Genomic DNA, 19,975 nt, shown 5'->3' with positions numbered 1-19,975 from the left:
AGATCCGCCTGCCTCCACCTCCCAAAGTGCTGGGATTACAGGTGTGAGCCCATGTGTCCAGGCAACAGTAGGGTTCACTCTTGATGTTGTATATTCTGTAGGCTTGGACAAACATATAGTGACATGCATCCATCATTATTGTATCAGACAGGGTAGTTTCACTGCCCTAAAATTCCTCTGTGCTCCACCTATTCATCCCTTCCTTCCATCAACTCCTGGCAACCACTCATCTTTTTGACTGTCTCTATAGTTATGTCCTTTCCAGAATGTCATATAGTTGGAATCTGTATGACATTCCATATGTCATATAGTTGGAAACAGTACGTAGCCTTTTCAGATTGACTTCTTTCACTTAATAATATGCATTTAAGGTTTCTTTATGTCTTTTCTTGGCTTGATAGTTCATTTCATTTTAGTACCAAAATTCTCTTGTCTGGATGAACCACAGATTCACCTACTGAAGGACATCTTAGTTGCTTCCAAGTTTTGGCAAATTTTGGCAATTAGGAATAAGCTGCTATAAACATCTGTGTGCAAGGTTTTGTGTGAATATGTTTTCAGCTCATTTGAATAAATACCAAGGAGAGTAGTTGCTAGATCATATGATAAGGGTGTGTTTAGTTTTGTTAGAAACTGCCAAACTGCCTTCAAATGGCTGTACCATGTTACATTCCCACCAACAATGAGAGTTTCTCTTGCGCTATAACCTTGCCAGCATTTGGAGTTGTGAGATACCATTACATGCCTCACTGTTGTTTTCATTTGCAATTCCCTAATGACATATGATGTTGAACATATTTTCACATGCTTATTTACCATGTATATATCTTCAGTGACGAGTTCGCTGAGACCTTTTGCCTGTTTTTTTGTTTGTTTGTTTGTTTGTTTGTTTTTGAGACGGAGTCTCGCTCTGTCTGTCGCCCAGGCTGGAGTGCAGTGGCGCGATCTCAGCTCACTGCAAGCTCCACCTCCTGGGTTCACGCCATTCTCCTGCCTCAGCCTCCCAAGTAGCTGGGACTACAGGTGCCCGCCACCACGCCTGGCTAATTTTTTTGTATTTTTAGTAGAGACGGGGTTTCACCGTGTTAGCCAGGATGGTCTTGATCTCCTGACCTGGTGATCCACCCGCCTTGGCCTCCCAAAGTGCTGCAATTACAGGCGTGAGCCACTGTGCCCGGCCTTTTTTTTTTTTTTTTTTTTTTGAGACGGAGTCTCCTCTGTCACACAGGCTGGAGTGCAGTGGCACGATCTTAGCTCACTGCAAGCTCCACCTCCTGGGTTCACGCCATTCTCCTGCCTCAGCCTCCCAAGTAGCTGGGACTACAGGCGCCCACCACCACGCCCAGCTATTTTGTATTTTTTAGTAGAAACAAGGTTTCACCATGTTAGCCAGGATGGTCTCGATCTCCTGACCTCGTGATCCACCTGCCTTGGCCTCCCAAAGTGCTGGGAATACAAGCATGAGCCACCGCACCCGACCCACCTTTTGCCTGTTTTGTAATCAAGTTGTTTTCTTATGATCTTAATACTTTTTCATCCTATGACAAGTGTTAATTTGGTTAGCTGGACATTTTGGTTTTGATTACATATTCCATTTAGATATGTAGGGCTTAAGTCAGATTATGCCAGGTATATGTTCCCTTGGGCTTGCTGAAGGATTCACTTTTATTAACTTGATTCTGGTGAAAGGGCGTGTAAAAAGTGAGACTGATCAACTAAATGTGCCATTTAACCCACTGAATGCACAAACCTTGCAGGAAAGTATAGTCAGTTCACTATAACACAACATAGTCATTTCTAAAAATCACCATGCTATGCCAAATTGTGTGGTAAGACAACAGTAGGCGTTATGGGAAAATTGGGGTTAGGGCACAACACTAACAAACTTATCCACTGACACATTAAAAAAGTAAAAAGGAACCAAAGAAACTTAGGAGCACAGTTTCACACATGCTAAATGGTTAAGAAATACACAAATATTGCCATACATATGGCATGTGACCTTGAAGACATCTGAAGTTTAACTGTGGACAGGGAAGTCAGAAGGGTTCCAGCTTGTGTGAGTTATTATGAAGTGGTGGATGGAGAGTTATCTGAAATCTGATGGAAAGCTGTAGCACTAACTGTGGAGATAGGGGTGGCTCATACCACTGGACTGAGGGAGCTGGTGGATGTTTAATATATGTGTTTTGCGTATTTCTACATGGCTGGGTACAGCTGGTTGCGGTTTCCTGCATTCACCTCCTATTTCTGGAAGACAAGCTCACGCATAAGGAAACGTGAAATTTTCATTATGCTCAACTTCTTCCTTAATATATCAATTGCATTGAAACAAATTCACATTTTCAAAATAAATGTGATAGCATAATAGACTGTAACTAATATCCTTTGTTGCATTCTTGAGCATATGTTCCTTTCATCCTCATAGTAGCTGCTCACGTATGATCTCCTTTGTATGTGCTGCCCAGAAGTGTTGGTATCTGGGGCCCACTGACCCCGGTTCTTTTATCACCTGTCCATTTTTTCTACCATGTGCCTCTTGTGCTGCTTAGGAGGGCCAGTTAGTATGCAAAGAGTAGACTTCTGGTTCTATGTTGAGGGAGGAGTGCAGGGCTGGTAAGAGCTATTGCTTACTAAAAATTGCTGGTGTGGATGAGGCATCCGCCAGGGCTGAGCTCTAGAAGGATTATCTGGAGCTTGTCTAACTAGGGCTCACTGCATATTTGAGCCCTCGAATGGACTGTCTTCATAAAGTAATTAAAAGCATATTGGAAGCACATCTTCTTTCTAATCTCTGGCATTGGATCTTAGCAGGACTGTATTCAGTTGTGTCTACATCTGTTTTGTGTGCAATTTGCCTCTCACGGATTATGGAAACCATCTCTTGCTGGGGAAGCTTTCAGTCGTGTTAAAGACTCATTTACCAAGGGAAAACAACACCTTAGAAAGGAATTTATTTTCAAAAATAGACATCCACATTGCATATAAATGTATATAGATAAGTGTTTCAACAACAACAACAAAATGCTGCCCTTCTGTTCCAGGAAATAAATACCTTATATTCAGTTTGGCGGGAGGGATTCTTCTCAAACTAAAACTGTTCTCCTCTATGTATATCATTTCCTGTAATTCCCTCACTAAAGACGCTTTGGATTCAGAGGGGCTATATTATTCTTGGAAAGTTTTGGAGTTTTCCAAAGATTGACTGAGATAGATCCTTAGCCTTACAACTTCTTGCCATCCAGGAACTGCATCACTTTTTTGGGGGGTGGGGGTGGGGGTGGTGCGGGCAGACAGAGTCTTGATCTGTCGCCCAGGCTGGAGTGCAGTGATGCGATCTCGGCTCACTGCAACCTCCGCCTCCTGGGTTCAAGTGATTCTCCCACCTCAGCCTCCCGAGTAGCTGGGATTACAGGCACCCACCACCACGCTTGGCTAATATTTGTACCTTTAATAGAGATGGGGTTTTGCCGTCTTAGCCAGGCTGGTCTCAAACTCCTGGCCTCAAATGATCCTCCCACCTTGGCCTCCCAAAGTGCTGGGATTACAGGTGTGAGCCACCACGCCCGGCCCACATCACATGTATAAGACTCCACTGCTTGATTAGGAATGGGACCTTGGAGTTAGGATCTGGCACTTTCGAAGTTTTTGTAAAGAAAATTCAGGACTCCTCAGTCTCCAGGTCAACGAAGTCCAGTTTTCATGTTATTCTGTTATTGTTTGCTATTTAGGATTGCTGTAGTCTACAGAGATGTAACTGTTTGAGGTGGAAAATAGAACATATGGTATTTTTGCCTAGAGAGCGAGGGCAGTGGTTTTTATTCTTGGCTGACCAATTGTTTCTCTTTCTTAAGCACTTTCTATGTGCCAGCATTGTGATTTTTATGGGTTATCTCCTTTAATCCTCACAAAACCCTGTAAAATGACCCCTCCCTCACTTTCCATATAATGGAACTAAGACTTCTCTAAGTCACTTGCACAGGATCAGTCAGCATGGATTTGAACCCAGATCTTTCATTTTTAAACGATTTCATTTTTTTTGTTGAAACTCACATAACATAAAATTCACCATTTCAACCAACTTAAAGTATCAGTGGCATTTAGTATATAAACAGTGTCATCCAACCATTAAGACTATCTAGTTCTAGAACATTTTCGTGACTTCAAAAGTAAAATTCTGTACCCATTAAGACACCACTTCTCATTCCTGCCTCCCCCCAGCCCCTGGCAACCACTAATCTGCTTTCAGTCTCTCTGGATTTGCTCATTCTAGACATTTCATATAAATGGAATCATACAATATATGACTTTTGTGTCTAGTTTCTTTCACTTAGCGTAATCTACTGGCACTTTATTCCCTTCATGGTGGCTGAAGAATATTGCACTGTATGGACACACCATAATTTCATTATCCATTCATCAGTTGATGGGTGCTTAGGTTGCTTCTGCCTTTTGGCTATGGTGAATAGTGCTGCTGTGAATGTTTGTATACAGCTTTGTATGTGAACACCTGTTTTCAGTTTTCTTAGATTGGAATTATTGGGCCATATGGTAATTCTGTGTTTTACCTTTTGAGGAAATGCCAAAGCATTTTCCATGGTGGCAACTACAGTTTACATTCCCACCAGCAGTGTATGAAGTGAACCCACGTCTTTCTGACTCCAAAGTCTGTGCTCATTTTCTTAGGCCATGCCATCTCCTCATTACTTCTCAAGGGCCCTAGCAATTGCCTGCCAAGCCACACCTCCAGCCAACAACAGAAGCATGCTGCAGGGTGTCTCATGTTGTGAGGGGATGGTGTTGGTAATAGGGCTTTTTGGCTTGGTGAAAGAACATGTGTCAGAGATTTGTCAGTGGACAACCTCCTCTTCCTCTGTGTCAGGTAATAGTTAAGAGTATGGGCTCTGGAACCACATTTTATATGATTCCAATTCTTTGAAATGTCCAGCATAAGGAAATCCATAGGCAGTAGGATCAGTGGCTGTCTAAAATTTAGGGAGTGATGGTTAAGTTATGGGATTTCTTTTTTTTTTTTTTTCTTTTTTTTTTTTGAAATGGAGTCTCGCACTGTCGCCCAGGCTGGAGTGCAGTGGTGTGATCTCTGCTCACTGCAAGCTCCACCTCCAGGGTTCACACCATTCTCCTGCCTCAGCCTCCCGAGTAGAGTAGCTGGGACTACAGGCACCCGCCACCACGCCCAGCTAGTTTTTTTTGTATTTTTTTAGTAGAGATGGGGTTTCACCGTGTTAGCCAGGATGGTCTTGATCTCCTGACCTCGTGATCCACCCACCTCGGCCTCTCAAAGTGCTGGGATTACAGGCATCAACCACCGTGCCCGGCCCCCGGGATTTCTTTTTAGTGTAATAAAAATGTTCTATTAACGCTTGTGGTGATGGCTGAAGAGATGGTTCAACTTTGAATACACTAAAAACCATTGCATGGGCTGGGCATGATGGCTCATGCCTGTAATCCCAGTATTTTGGGAGGCCAAGGTGGGCAGATCACTTGAGCCCAGGAGTTTGAGACCAGCATGGGCAATGTGACAAAACCCTGTCTCTACAAAAATTAGCTGGGTGTGGTGGTGCACACCTGTAGTCCCAGCTACTCTGGAAGCTGAGGTCGGAGGGTCGCGTGAACCCGGGAGGTTAAAGCTGCGGTGAGCCATGGTCACACCACTGCACTCCAGCCAGGGTGACAGAGCGAGAGCCTGAATCAAAAGCAAAAAAAAAAAAAAAAAGAAAAAAAAAAAGAAAAAGAAAAGTATGGTATACTTTAAACAGATGAATTGTATGGTATGTGAATTATATCTCATGAAAGAATTTTTTAAAGTGTAGTCTCTAGAGCCTCACTGCCACTTATTAGCTCTGAACTTGGACAGGTTCCTTAGTGACTCTGTTCCAGGATTCATGTTTAAAGGGGGGGAGGATAAGATAATAGTTCTGTACCTACCTCATTGAGTTGTGAAGATCAAAGGAGCTAATATAGATAATATAGTGCTTGGCATGGTGCCTGACACATAACAAATGCTCAATGCATGTTGTTAACTATTAATATAAGCATCATAAAATATTTTTTTGAAGTTCCAACTGATGGATGGTGTTCATGATAGGGCAGCAAAGACTGGAAACACATAGCATTCCTCTTAAAATTTAAATTCTTTGTTCAACCCTGCTGCCAAGGGAAATGAGCACTATAGGACAATGTAATGGGACAATAATTTGGGTAGTACTGGGAGATGAGGTCATATGGGAGTGGGTGTTGGGTACACTTAAGGGCTGAAAAAAGAACTGGTGCTGTTGCATGTGAGGAAATTGTATTAAAAAGGCTGCTCTACCCTCACTGACAACAGATGTTGGGAGGTCTTAGGCTCTGGGCTCCAGGGCCTCTGACCCCCTTGAAATTCTCTCCAGGTTCTTTGGAGGTCATGATCCCACAGTTGGCAGAGCCCTGGTGTAGATTAGCTTCCTTGGATATGTTTTCCTCTCTCTTTCCCTAATGCCTCCCATCCCGAGGGTCTCGAGGAACTAGAGGGAGGTGCTTATGCTAGTAAAGAAACTAGCACCTTTTCAAGGAAAATGAAGGAAAAAGCTGGGACAGTAGGGAAGGCAGGAGTCTGACCCATGGATCTAGGAGTGGAAAAAGAAGAACAAAACACCAAGCTGTTCTGCTTGTCCAGTTGCTCTGAGGTTGAAGGCCTTCCAGGAGAAGCGTCCTCACTGTTGTCTGTGTCCATGTTTGCAGGCCACAGACATTGACTATCTGCCCGGTGCCTCCTTGTCAATGTCCCATGTGGGGGAGAGACAAAAGCAAAGACAGCCAGCCTTCCCAGTTCCTTCAGGAGACAGAACCCGAAAGCCAACACATGAAGGCATGGAAGAACACTTCCAGAGAACCAGCTCACAAGTGCAAGGGGATGGGGCTGTCGACCCCGTGTGTATAGTGCCAAGGCAATCCAGGTCATGGTTGCAGAGTGCTTTACTGCCATTTTTATTGCCTCCTTTCAATAAACCACTGCAGTGCATGAACTGGTTGTGTTTTATAGCTAGGAAAACTCTGAGCTACCAACACATTAAGTTACTTGACACTGAGAGAACCCTCAACATGAATGTCTTATATCTGCAAGGATATTTGTGTTAGATTCCATCATGGAGGTAGGAATGCTTATATCAGACAAAGATGCATATGCACACATGCACACACAAGCACACATATGCATGCACACATGCCAGGGGATAATGATGTCAGATATGGGGACTTAATTGCTGGAAGCGAGTGTAAAATGCCATTGGTGAGGGCTGGGGGACAGAGAGAGCAGCCCTGTGGCCCTGGGTGGCAGGGGAGAGCCCGGGGTAGGTTGTGTGCCTCCCTCCCCAACATACACAGTGCCCTTCTCAGCCTGCTGTCTGTCCATTAGCTGCACGGCTGCTGGCCTGAGCACACGGGCTCTTCTTGGCTTTGAGCCAGTGGCGAGCTGGGAGCCTGTGACTTTGAGACTTGGCCCTTTTCAGTTTTCTTTGTTCAGAAAAAAGTTTCATCCTGGCTGTCTTCAGTGGCTGCCGAGGATTAGGAGAACCCTGGGGAGACTTGGCTATAGGACGGCTCTCAAAGCTGTGCTGGGAAATTTGAAGAGGGCCCATTTCTCTCTGTCTTATTTCAAGTTACATTCTTCTCTCCCTTCCTAAACGAGTTTTTACTGTTGCAAACCCTACTGCATAATCCCCTAGTGTACTTTTGTGATTCTGCTGCTATGGAAGGGATTAGACCAGTATCAGGACCAGTAACATATTTTAAGGACTGTTGAAATGGACAGTATGAAGTAAGGTTCAAATTTGGATACTCATTTTAAATAGTTGCACAAGTTAGAGGCACCACATGCTTTCCTGGGTTAGCATTTGTCATTCTTAAAAAAAGAAAAAGTATGCTTTTCAGTGGCTGGAAAGAAAAAGAAAGGAGGAGGCTTGGCTCCTCTGAGCAGAGCATGAGAATTGGATTTCTAAATGGCCAGAGACTATGGTATTCCCAAGTACAAGTGGTTTGTTTTCAAAAATTTGTAACTACTTGCAGTTTTGCTTGTTTAATATTGTTAAGAAATGGAAATTGCCTCAGTTGTAAAGTGGTTTTCCCATTAAGGATTTTTTCTTTTTAGTTTTGATGGTTTTTACCTTTTAAAAATAGTATTTATTTCATGATTATGAACAAATTGTTTTTGCAAATCTGATTGTATTACAGTAGATAGGTAGATGTTTGCATTTTTCATAAGCTACCCATTAGTGTAAATGTACAAAAAAATGCCTTTATACATCTTTTTACCATGTTTCTTGTGGTACTTGGGGAGGACTTAACTCTGAACTGCCTCCATTAGCATTGTTTCCCAGAGGACACATTAACAGATCAAAAAGCTATAGACTACTACATATACACATACCAGGAGTACGTAGTTCAGTTTCTGTAATCCCACAGTACGCAAATGTTGGCAGAATTTCAATGATTGTATTAATCCTGTGAGATACTTTGTCATGCATGATAGATGATATTTACAAATTGAGGTCTGAAATGGTCAGAAGCTTTGAAGATGCTTTATTGTGCAGTATGTGGAAGTGGAAGTGTTTATATTGTTTTAGACCATATTGGCCAACCAGGCAGCAAAAAATATACAGTCTCATAATAGAGTACAACAATTTCATAACAAACCTGAAGGTTGCTGGGGAGTTTTTCCAGCCTAAACCAACAAGGTTCATCAAAAGTTTTGCCAAGGTCTTAAAACCCTATGGATAATTGGAGCGTTTGGATATCTCATGTGAAACACAAATCCATTTAAATGCCATCCACATACCTGTGAAATGACTTTCTTAATACATTTCTGTATTGTAGACTCAGAGCAGAATATGATAGCCCTGCTATGAGGAGCTCCTGGTTCTTTAAGGGCTCCACTTGATTAATCAGAGAGGATCTGAGCATAATTAAGAATCACATTGTATTTGAAGACTGGGAAGTGGGAGCCCAAGAAGGGTCACTGATTTTTTCTCAAGGTCATACAGTCAGATCAACTCACGAGGTCTTGTTTCCTCTCTACATGTATAACAGACTGTAGGTTGCTTTTGCCCCTTTCACCCCCAACTCCTGCGATTTAACACTTTTAAATTTTGAAAGGTTTCCTTACTTAAAGAAGTTCTTGGTTCACCCTGGCCCTACTCTTTGTGACTTTGCACATTTCCTTTCTCTTTCCCTACCTACCTTCCACCTTTAGTCTGTTCCTCCCACTGGGCTTCTCCCTTCCTATTCCTTTAATTTTTGCTGCCCTTCTCTAAAACTTTTCTTCATAGTGTTCATGAGTTTGAGAATAGCACATGTCACTCTAGGCACAAGCAAATTACTCTTTTGTATAAAGAGCAGGCTTGTTTCATCCCTTTGGTGGCTATGGGTTTTCTCAGACTCTCCCCCACGTTGCCAAACACTTGCAGCTCAGCACTATCATGGATTGGTGTCTTTCCCCCAGCTTTACTGATATATAATTCATATACTATAAAACTCACCTCATTAAAGTGTACAATTCAGTGGTTTTTAGTATATTCATGGAGTTGTGCAACCATTACCTCAGTCTATTTAGAACATTTTTATCACCCCCCCAAATTAACTGTGTACCATTAGCAGTCACCCCTCATCTCCCTCCCTCTCTTTCTGCCCTAGGCAACCATTAATCTGCTTTCTGTCTATGGAGTGATGTTTTGAGGGCCCAGTCTACAATCACTTCCCTGTGATAAGAGGAGTCATGTGGCTACTCACTTGCTCACCTTGACAGTGGCCTGCCTGATGTTTGCTCATTTTCCTCCATTAATTTGACATGTCACTAATTACTTTAGTGTCAAAGTTGGAGATAGTTTACCTCTCCTTTCCTATTCTAGAGACTCCAGAAAGGGACCTTGGACAACCTTGAAGTGAATTGCCTTTCTGATCTCTGACTTTCTACAACCCCGTTTTTGGCAGATCATCAACTACCCTTTGCCCCTGAGCCCTGGTGATGGGAAACCCCAAGAACTGGAAGTTCCCTTGAGGTTGGGATTTTGTAACCTCAGCGCTGAGCCTGATGCCTGCCTGCCTGCCACATAGACACTCAGTGTCACTGAATGAATGAACTTAAGCAATACTGTTAAGATGGAATTACCATACCTTTTTGACACATCTGTCACTATGAACTAATTGAGCTTATTTATGCTCTGTGTGTGTGTGTGTGTGTGTGTCTTCAATAACCCAACTGTAGAATCATTTTAAAAATAGCAAGTAAAGCTGATCTCAGAATAAATTCTAGGTGCATCCCATCTTGTGTACGTAGCAGAAATGGATGCATTTCTCCCTACCTTCTGTTTCTTGTGTTGTATGTTCGATTCCTATCCAGGAGAAAACAAGATGAGGCTTTATGTTTTAGGGAAGAAAATGGAAGGTTTAGAGAACATGTTTTTATTTATTGTTTTCTAAAAATGCTATAGAAAACAGTACTCCAAGTAGCTGTTTTGATTCTCTTTAATTCCTTTCTTCTTCATCTGAGGATGAACATCTGGTAGGGAGTGCTTTTACTTGCAATCCAGTACACTCCTATTGTCAGTCCAAAAATATGTGGAAGTAAAGAGATTCCATCTCAGACCCCTCCAATTGCCATAACAGTGGGCCTGATATAGAAGTTGAGAAGGTGTCAATAAAGTGTTAATGGAGATACTCAAGGAATTCAGAGCATTTCAAGGCACAGCATATGTTCACATCCCTCTGGTATCAGCAAAAACTCAAAAGTGAAACCTGTAGGGTCATTTGGCTTTCATGCTGTCCAACAATAGGACTTTAAAAGCCACACACTAAGGAGCAGAATATTGAAAATTACTTTGAACTTTCAAAGCTAACTATCTAAAATATCCTAGCAACTTTCAAAAAGTGTGATAAGCAGGAAGTGCAGCACTTTGTAAGACACGTGCATGCTCTTAAGCAGAAGCCTAAAATGCTCCTAATTTGTACCAGAGACCTTATCAAAGGGCTTCGCAAAATTCCAGTTCAGCAATTATGAGGTATTAGTTGAGTTTAACCTCTGAATCATAGGGTGGGGAGTGGAGAATTGTCATTTCATTCTACTTTCAACTATCAAGGCAGATGGACCTTTCTAAAAGATGGTGGTGGGTGAGTAGAAAAGGAATTGATAAGAAAAAGGAGGGACTTTGAAAGGGCTTCTCTTTTCAGAGCTGGCATGACTGTCTCTCCAGTACTCTCCCTACTACACATATTTCTGTTTTGTAAGGAGCCCCTAAGGATACATATACAGATATCCTTGGGGGCTCCTTGCAAAACAGAAATACCTTTGGAAAGTTAAAAGAAAAAATGGGGTTTCCTATAACCTCTTTTTTTTTTTTTTTTTTTTTTTTAAAGACGGAGTCGCTGTGTCGCCCAGGCTGGAGTGCAGTGGCACAATCTTGGCTCACAGCAACCTCCACCTCTCAGGTTCAAGCGATCCTCAGCCTCCTGAGTAGCTGGGATTACAAGTGCCTGCCACCACACCCAGCTAATTTTGTATTTTTAGTAGAGATGTGGTTTCACCATGTTGGCCAGGCTGGTCTCAAACTTCTGACCTCAGGTAATCTGCCCACCTCGGCCTCCTAAAGTGCTGGAATTACAGATGTGAGCCACCGCGCCCGGCCTTCCATACCTCTTTTAAGCTGTTGTCCCAGGGTCTGGGTGGAGTGGCTTGTGTTTGGGATAGGAGCAGCACTCATTTCAATGAAATCACCTGCAGACCTTGGCTCCATTTTAGAATGACTTAGAACGTCCTGAGAAGTAAATTGCTTATCTTGGGGCCTCAGTTTCTGTTGGATAAGTTAATTGCCTCTCCCTATGAAAAACATTTTAAGTGGTATAATGGCCTAAGGTTTGTTATATTTATATTAACGAATTTGGACAAAGAGAAATCAACTCAAGCAATTTTTTTTTCTGTCAAAGAAATGCTATACCCATTAAGGACAAATTTTGTGTATAAAGATGGCTTTATTTATATTTAGAAATGATGGCTGCAGGCTTTTATTTGATGAGTTTGTTTAGATTACAAAACCTGAGCATATTTTAGCATCAGGGCAGGGGGGCTGCTGATCTCTCCAAAAAGACAACAGTGATTTGAGTAAAGCAAGAGTTTGTAGTAATATATGTGTATGTGAGTTTTTAAGTTCTGAAATGGATAGTAATTTAAAATAATGAACACCAGAATTCAAAGGACTACATATTTGCCTTAAGAAAATAACACAGAGCAAATTGCCTCTTAGCGATTTATAGTTTTATACTTTGTCTTGTTTGTTCCACTGGTCATGGCAAACTCTGGGAAGAGATTTTGAGGCTAGTCTGAGCCCTAGAAGTCAAGAATAAAAGTAGACTTTTAGTTAACAGTTTAAAACTTTGCCATAGTTTCCAATTACATTTATATTTGAACAGGAAGGAGTCTTAGGACTTTTCTTCATTTCTTAATGGTGCTCATAAAACATAGTGAATGGGAATTTGCTTTAAGACTAATTGTATGTGTGTGTACGGGTGTGTGTCTGGGTGTATACACACCCACAGAGACGCGCATATTAACTAAGTTGGGATGCCATAGTTGGATGAGTTTTCAAATATTTTAGCAAAGGTTTCTGAGCACTCATGAAACAAAAGCATTAAGGATTGCTTGTCATAGCTAATAAAGTTTTCTTGGATCTCACTTAATTTTTCTGCTTCACTTCACAGAGTAATTGAAACTTCCTTTTTGCTTTGAGTTCCCCTCACCCCACCCCCAAGAGCTACAGTCTTAAAAGGACATCTCTTTTGGTTAGCAGTTCTATGGATTTTTTTCTGAATGTAGAACTAGGTCCTCAAATAGTTATTGAGCTAGTGGTCATTCAATCCTTAGAAGGGAAATTAGTTAAATCTGTAAGTGGCTTCTGGAGGTTGAAGAACATCCAAGGAGAATAAAGGCTTATTACAACTGGAGCATTTCAAGCATCTGTTGTGTAAGCCTGGAAATGTGATCCAGGTTGAAAAGTAGAGATGATGGAACTGTTCCATTGGAACAGTGAAGGTATGAAAAAATAAGCTCCAATCTCAAAAACAAACAAACAAAAACCCTGAAGAACTTTATAAGTATAGGAATTATCAGTTGATGCAGATTAGCCAAAATGATGAGGTTTTCCTGTGCTCCATCAATAGTTATTTGCTTCTTTATTTCAAATCATTCTCTAGAAAATTGTCTTTCTCCATCAAATGAAATAACCTTGGAAGTCTTAACCAATTCTTGCAAAATGGCTCCCCTCTGTCTTCCCTCCAGCCATGTTTTGTTTTGGGTTAACAGTAAAAGACAAAACAGATTGTTGACTTTTTGCCAGAAAATTTTGGGGACAGATTTTGCTGCTGTTGCTTCTGACGTGAACAAAAACCTCAGATTGCATATCTTCTATTCTCAGGGCAAAAACTTATTTTTGAAGCAATGTGGGTGGGTTTTGAGGCGTGCTCTTCTGTTTTTGTTTTAAAGCATTTGGTAAGAAGACACTTGACTTTGAAATTTTATTTTCATATGTACTGGCTTGAGAGAGCTGACCTCCCACCTCCACTCCATCTACCTTGTCAACTTTGATTTTTAACGAAGTAATCAACTAGTTGATGTAACATGCTTATTTTAAAAGCAATCATATGGGAGTGATTTAACCTTTTTTTTTATCAAGTTGAGTGTTAATTATTTTGATCTGCCTCTTGAATGGTGGGTTGTTAATAGTAATATTAGTCACAGCTGGTATGTGAGTACTCAACTCCAGATTCCTTGGTTCAATATTTCATAGGTCATTAAACAATTTTCTGATGAAAATGATTTATTTAAACTCCAATTCTCAACCTCTTGCTTTTCACAATCCCTTAGGATAATTAAATGCCCAGTACTGCACCCCTAACTAGTTACTTACTTTTCAAGAATCCTCACTTAAATAATCATATCATATGCAGAAATAATTATCCTGCAAAGAAAGCTTTGTGAATACTTCGGTGTTTAATTCAGTTTAAATTCATTTAGGAGAGAGTAGTACAAAATGGCTGCATTATAATTCACATTGTGAGCAAAGTATTTTTAAAATATTTTGACATTCTTGACTAGGTTTTCATGTCACTCTTTATCAAATGCATCGTACTACTATATTAGGTTTCTTTGCTTAACTCACACTGTCTAATGGGAAAAAGTTCAATATCATTTAAGACAGACTCTAGTTATCTCATTTGAGCGACAATTGTTCTGGGGGAACTGTAACTTAACAGAAATATAAGAAAAACAGGAACTAGGGTCAAAAGCCCCACAGGGTATAAAAGGGTCATAACCTCTCTCAGAGGAGGCAAATGTAACTGATATACTAGTTTTTAAAGGGCACTTGATTGCATGAAGGAATGCAGTAACAGGATTTAAAGCAAACATACAGCACTAACAAAGATTAAATTAATGGTGTGCCCTGCTCTGGGGGGATTAAAAGAGGTAGTTTTATATAAAATTATTGTGAGTAGACTAAGATTAATTTCCTGATTTTGCATATCATAAGATACTGTAATTTATGATATCTGCTGTGATTCTTACGTTTAAAGTAGTACCTAGACTTTGATATGCGAACAAAATTAAGAAACCATGTCAAAGTATAAAAATAATGTTACTCGGTCGGGCGTGGTGGCTCAGGTCTGTAATCCCAGCACGTTGGGAGGCCAAGGCAGGCAGATCACCTGAGGTCAGGAGTTTGAGACCAGCCTGACCAACATGGTGAAACCTCGTCTCTACTAAAAATACAAAAAATTAGCTGGGTGTGGTGGCGGGCACCTGTAGTCCCAGCTACTCAGGAGGCTGAGGCAGGAGAATGTCTTGAACCCGGTAGGCAGAGGTTGCAGTGAGCCAAGATTGCGCCACTGCACTCCAGCCTGGGCAACAGAGCTAGACTTTGTCTAAAATAATAATAATAATAATGTTACTCAATGTTATATTGAAGTAATTTTTCTTTATATTCTTAGATGGTAAAATTACCATGCTCTTAAAAAAACCTTAAAAGTGAAGTTCTAAGTGAATCAACACAATTTTTAGATGATATGTCATGAGAACACAAAACACATAGAAAAATGGTAAATTTTATTAACAGTGCTTTTATGAATTGAAAACCTTCCCTTAGTGTTGGATACGGAGGCTAGAATGAATTCCACAATCACCGTGGATGTTTGGAGTCCTGGGAAATGTGCTGCAGAGCTGTGTAAATGAAGTGTTGCTGCCTCCAAGGTGTCTTGGGCCTAGGTTGGCTATCCACATAATTGAAATTAAAGTAAAACTTCATATGCTGCCAAGAAGACAACAACACATCCAGTTAATCTCCAATAGTGTTTTAAGATGATTCACAATTGGAAGATAGGTAACATGGTGTTTAACAGGTATGCCATGTTTTTTGTCATTTTATTCAAAAGAATCTCAGCAAATAGATAATTTTCTTTTTACATTTTTAAAAAAGAGATGGGGTCTCACTTTGTCACCTAGGCTGGAGTGCAGTGGCACTGTCATAGCTTGCTGCAGCCTAAAACTCCTGGCCTCAAGCAGTCCTCCTGCCTCTGCCTCTCAAAGTGCTGGGCCACTGTGCCTGCCACTTTTCTTGAAAAATTATAGGTAAGGAAAGGGGCTCATTGTTCCAGTTTCGCCTAGCACAGTTCAGCTTTACACCTGCTGTCCTAGCATAGTTGTTATTGTTCTTGTTTGGAGACAGAGTCTGGTCTGGCTTTGTCAACTTACCCGGAGTGCAGTGGCACAATCATGGCTCGCTGCAGCCTGAACCTCCTGGGCTCAGGTGATCCTCTCACTTCAGCCTCCCAAGTAGCTGGGACTACAGGCAGGCACCACTATGCCCAGGTAATTTTTTAATTTTTTGTAGAGACTGGGCCTTGCTATGTTGCCCAGGCTGGTCTCAAACTCCCGGGCTCAAGCATTCTCCCGCCTTGGCCTCCCAAAGTGCTGGGATTACAGGCATTAGCCACCGCACCCAGCCCTCAGTATAATTGTTAGTGGCACCTTCTTTCACTCTCCCATGTGTCCTGGTTTGGCCTATAATTTGTGGTCACCCTAAGAACAGGAAACAGTATATTCACAGAAAGAACTTGCTAATTAAAAATGATTTAAAATAGTTTTGCTTAGGAAGAAAACATTATGAGAACTTTACATTTTTTCCTAGACATAACTTAGCCTAAGGTTGAGGAAGGAGACACCATCAAGTCGATCTCCTGGCTAAGCAGGTTACATATACATCGCAAGAGCACTTTACAAAGAGGCAAGAAAGCCCTATACCCCAATGTCTGAAAAGGATCACACAGAGTAGAATTTAATCTGATTTTGATGGTGTTACCAATGGAGGGTATTGACTGCAAGTTGTCTGAGTTCTTGGCGTTTTGAACAAAGGATTGGACAAAACTCACAGCAAAGCAAGGAATAAAAGAAGCAATGAAAGCAGAGATTTATTGAAAATTAAAGTATACTTCACAGGGTGGGAGCCACCTGAGCAGCAGCTTAAGGGCCCTGGTTACAGAATCTTCTGGAGTCCAGATACCCCCTAGAGGTTTCTTACTGGCCACTTGGTGTACACCCCATGTAAATAAAGTAGTGGCTGGCAATCAGAGGCTGAAGTGAAGTTACAAAGGTTACACCCTATACAACCAATCAGAGGCTAAAGTGAAGTTACAAGGTTATACTCCTATGCAAATGAAGACTTGGCTTGCAATCTGATTGATTGTGGAAAGCAACCAATCAGAGGTACTTTCAATTTTCCATCTGCCACTCTGTAAGGGATGGGGGTTTGCAAAGGGAGTAGCCTCTCTGGTCCTTTTGTTACTTAGGTGTGGAAAGTTGGGGTTTTCCTTTCAATTCACCGTGAATTGGCCTTAGGTTCCCTGCCTCCAGACCCTATTCTCCTGCCTCAGTGGCACCTCAGGGCCATCATTTCGAATATCACTTACTTCTACCCTGGCTACACACACAGATGCAGTAAGAGGCCAGGCCCACAGTCTAGAAGGAATTGTTCACCATCCTATTATAAATCATTTTGATAATTTTTCTTAAGTGCACTGGCTTACTGAGGTTTACCTGCCACTTTTTCTGCCCACAGAGTCTCACAAGCTGGCCTGTGTTCTGTTCTCTGAAGATCCCATGCACTGTAGTGCTTAGTGCTGGCTGTAGTGGAGCCCAACCTTTTGTAGTCTGAGAAAACCAGTGGTGTGCTCTATAAGTGAGACAGTATTCAGTGTGCAGAAGGTACTTGGCAGAACTATAAATCCATAGACTTTTGGAAATATCTCTAAGATCCATAGGCTGGGAATCACAGAACTGAACCATTGAAAACATGTGTGTGCCATTATGTAATAACATTTGGAGCTTTGGTCTTGGAACTTGATATTATGATCTGACATGCTTTTACACTTGAATCATCTCAGTGCATACCTGATTCATGCCTTCATTACATACTTTTGACCTCTGAAATCCATGAAGCTGATAAGGACTTGGGAAGGCTGCTCTCATAGCATGTAAACACTTGGAAGGCTGATGAATGTTCTGCTGTAGTGTTATATCCTTTCTGTCCAGCTCTTGAGGGATTGCTTATTAACATTTCATTATCCAGTCATCTGCCATTTCTGTTCTTACTGACTAAAAAATGTGCCCTGTAACCTAACATCCAGTATAGGACGTTGCTCCATCTTTTTGCAAAGAAAAGTATGTGAAACAACTGTAACTATTTAGGAAAGATGTGTAATGCAGAAAATAGTGCATATTTGTAGGTTTTAACAGGCTTATTTCCTCTTCTACCAAAAACTAAAGAGAAATCAGTCTGCAGGTTTAGATCTTTGAAAATAAATGCATTCTAACTTTTATATCTTTAATAGAGATTCCTAAGATGTTAGTGTTCTGAAGCATCTTTACTATCATTGTTTGCATCCAGCATCAGATTAAAAATCAAATAATTTGAGTGTGATAGAGCTGTTCGTTGGAGGGTCTGCTTGAGGGTAGGGAGGCTCAAGAGACCCAGATCTGAAACTCAGCAGCCTCTCAAATAGGTAGTTTTGACTTGGGGGCTTGGCAAAATATTGTCATAACTGCAATGGAAATGGAAGTGAGAAGAGGTGGATTTATGGCATGATCCACATTAGACTCTGAGCTCCCTGAGGGCAGAGAATGTGCTCATTTTTATCTTTAGCATTTTGCACTGTACCTGATGTATTCTAGTTACTCAATAAATGTTGGTTGAGTGACTAGAGAAAGAAAAGAAAGTTGGTGAAGGTCGAGGCAAAGCAAACACTGTAGTGGTGAACGGTTGATGAAATTGTCATAAAAAGATGAAGTTTTAAAAATTAGGTGGAAACCACAGGGTGTGTCTACAGGCAGCCACCAAAACTGCAGTTGCAATAAAATAAAACATTAAGAAAAAAAAATTGAGAAGCTTTAACAAAAAAAACTTACTTGGCTTTGGAGCTAAAATTCCACAGCTGTAATCAGGGAAAATGCTCTGCCCAGCAGCCTGAGTAATGAATAAAAAGAATTTTCAGAGAGAAAAGAAATCAACAAGCTCTGTGACTCCCCCCAGAAAGGCCAATTGCTGCCTCCCACCATCTTTTGACAAGAATGACATTTTACCCACCCATGCCAGGCTTCTAAAATAAGTTGATAATGTTTGCACTCGCTGTATTAGTAGAACATCTTGATATAGAATGAAACAGTCTTAAATTTCTTAGCTACTAGGAAGCACGTTTTTTAGCTGTGTTTGGAACAGTGAGTATTCTTAGATTTTCAGCAGCATTCGTGTCTAGATATCTTTGGAATAATTTGTTGTGTTCTGATCCTGAGAGTTGATTATGTGTTCTCTTTACCATTTCTGAAAGATGTAATTCACATGAAAGTTATTAAACAGAAGGTTATCTGATTCTTATTTACTATTTCATTCTACTTTTACAATTATGTGTGTATATTGAAGTTCAGAATGCCCTGTCTAAATTTTAGGTTGAAAACAGGAAGTAGTGACTAAATTTAAGTGTGTTTTCTTATTTGAGGGATTAAAACCCTTGTTTTGGAGTTTGTTTTGTTTTGTTTTGGTCATCACTTCCAATTTAAATGCTATTGTTGTTTCTGGTTGCCTGAGCAGTATGAAACATCAGCTTGTGGAGACCAATAACTTGTGTTAAGCTTAAATTTGAGGCCAGTCCAGATGGAATTCTTCACTCCAGAATGTCTGTGAATGGCATTTCCTCAGAAAGTGTAACAGAATTTTTGGTCCGTATGACCAAGCAATTCCATTGCTAGGTATAAACCCAAGAGAATTGAAACCCTATACTGGGGTGGGGGTTGGGACTCATTCTAACTTTGGAAATTCTTGAGATTTTAGTGTTCTAAAAGGGTTTCTATATCAAATATATACAGCATCAGAATAAAAATCAAATAATATAGACATGTTGGTAGCAGCATTAGTCACAGTTGCCAAAAGGTGGAAACAACCTAAATATCAATATCAACTGTTGAATAGATAAACAAAATGTGGCATACCCATGAAATGGAATATTATACAACCATAAATAAGAATGAAGTACTGATACATGCTACAACATGGATGAACCTTGGAACACTATGTTTTATGAAAAAAGCCAGTTCAGAAAGATTACAATATGCATGAATCTTTTTATGTGAAATGTACAAAATAGGCAAATTCATAGAGACAGAAAATAGATTATGCTTGCCCAGGGCTGGTGTGTGTGTTGGGGAAGGGTTGGAGGGGTGACTGCTGATAGGCACAGGATTTCTTTTTGGTGTAATGGAAATGTTCTGGGATTAGATAGTGGTGATGGTTGCACAGCCCTGTGAATATACTAAAACTCAATGAAGTGTACACTTTAAATGAGTGTATTGTACAATATGTGAATTAAATTTTAAAACATGATGGGGGGGCAA

The 19,975-nt window shown here is 40.8% G+C and overlaps 1 protein-coding gene across 1 annotated transcript in view, besides 1 other annotated feature; it reads left to right on the top strand.

Moving 5' to 3' along the window:
* Positions 1–19,975, top strand: part of GPC4 (glypican 4) — a 115,387-nt gene that overhangs the window by 31,863 nt on the left and 63,549 nt on the right. The gene's annotated exons all lie outside the window — the stretch shown is intronic.
* Positions 15,827–16,327: an enhancer, noted in NCBI's record as "H3K27ac hESC enhancer chrX:132501328-132501828 (GRCh37/hg19 assembly coordinates)". NCBI's record gives its function as "activates a minimal SCP1, AML or CMV promoter by ChIP-STARR-seq in primed H9 embryonic stem cells {active_cell/tissue: H9 hESC(primed)}" and the evidence as "EXISTENCE:reporter gene assay evidence [ECO:0000049][PMID:30033119]".

The sequence above is a fragment of the Homo sapiens genome, chromosome X, assembly GCF_000001405.40.
Source record: "Homo sapiens chromosome X, GRCh38.p14 Primary Assembly".
In the NCBI taxonomy this organism is placed as follows: Eukaryota; Metazoa; Chordata; class Mammalia; order Primates; family Hominidae; genus Homo; species Homo sapiens.
This window is presented reverse-complemented; position numbering and strand designations above follow the sequence as displayed.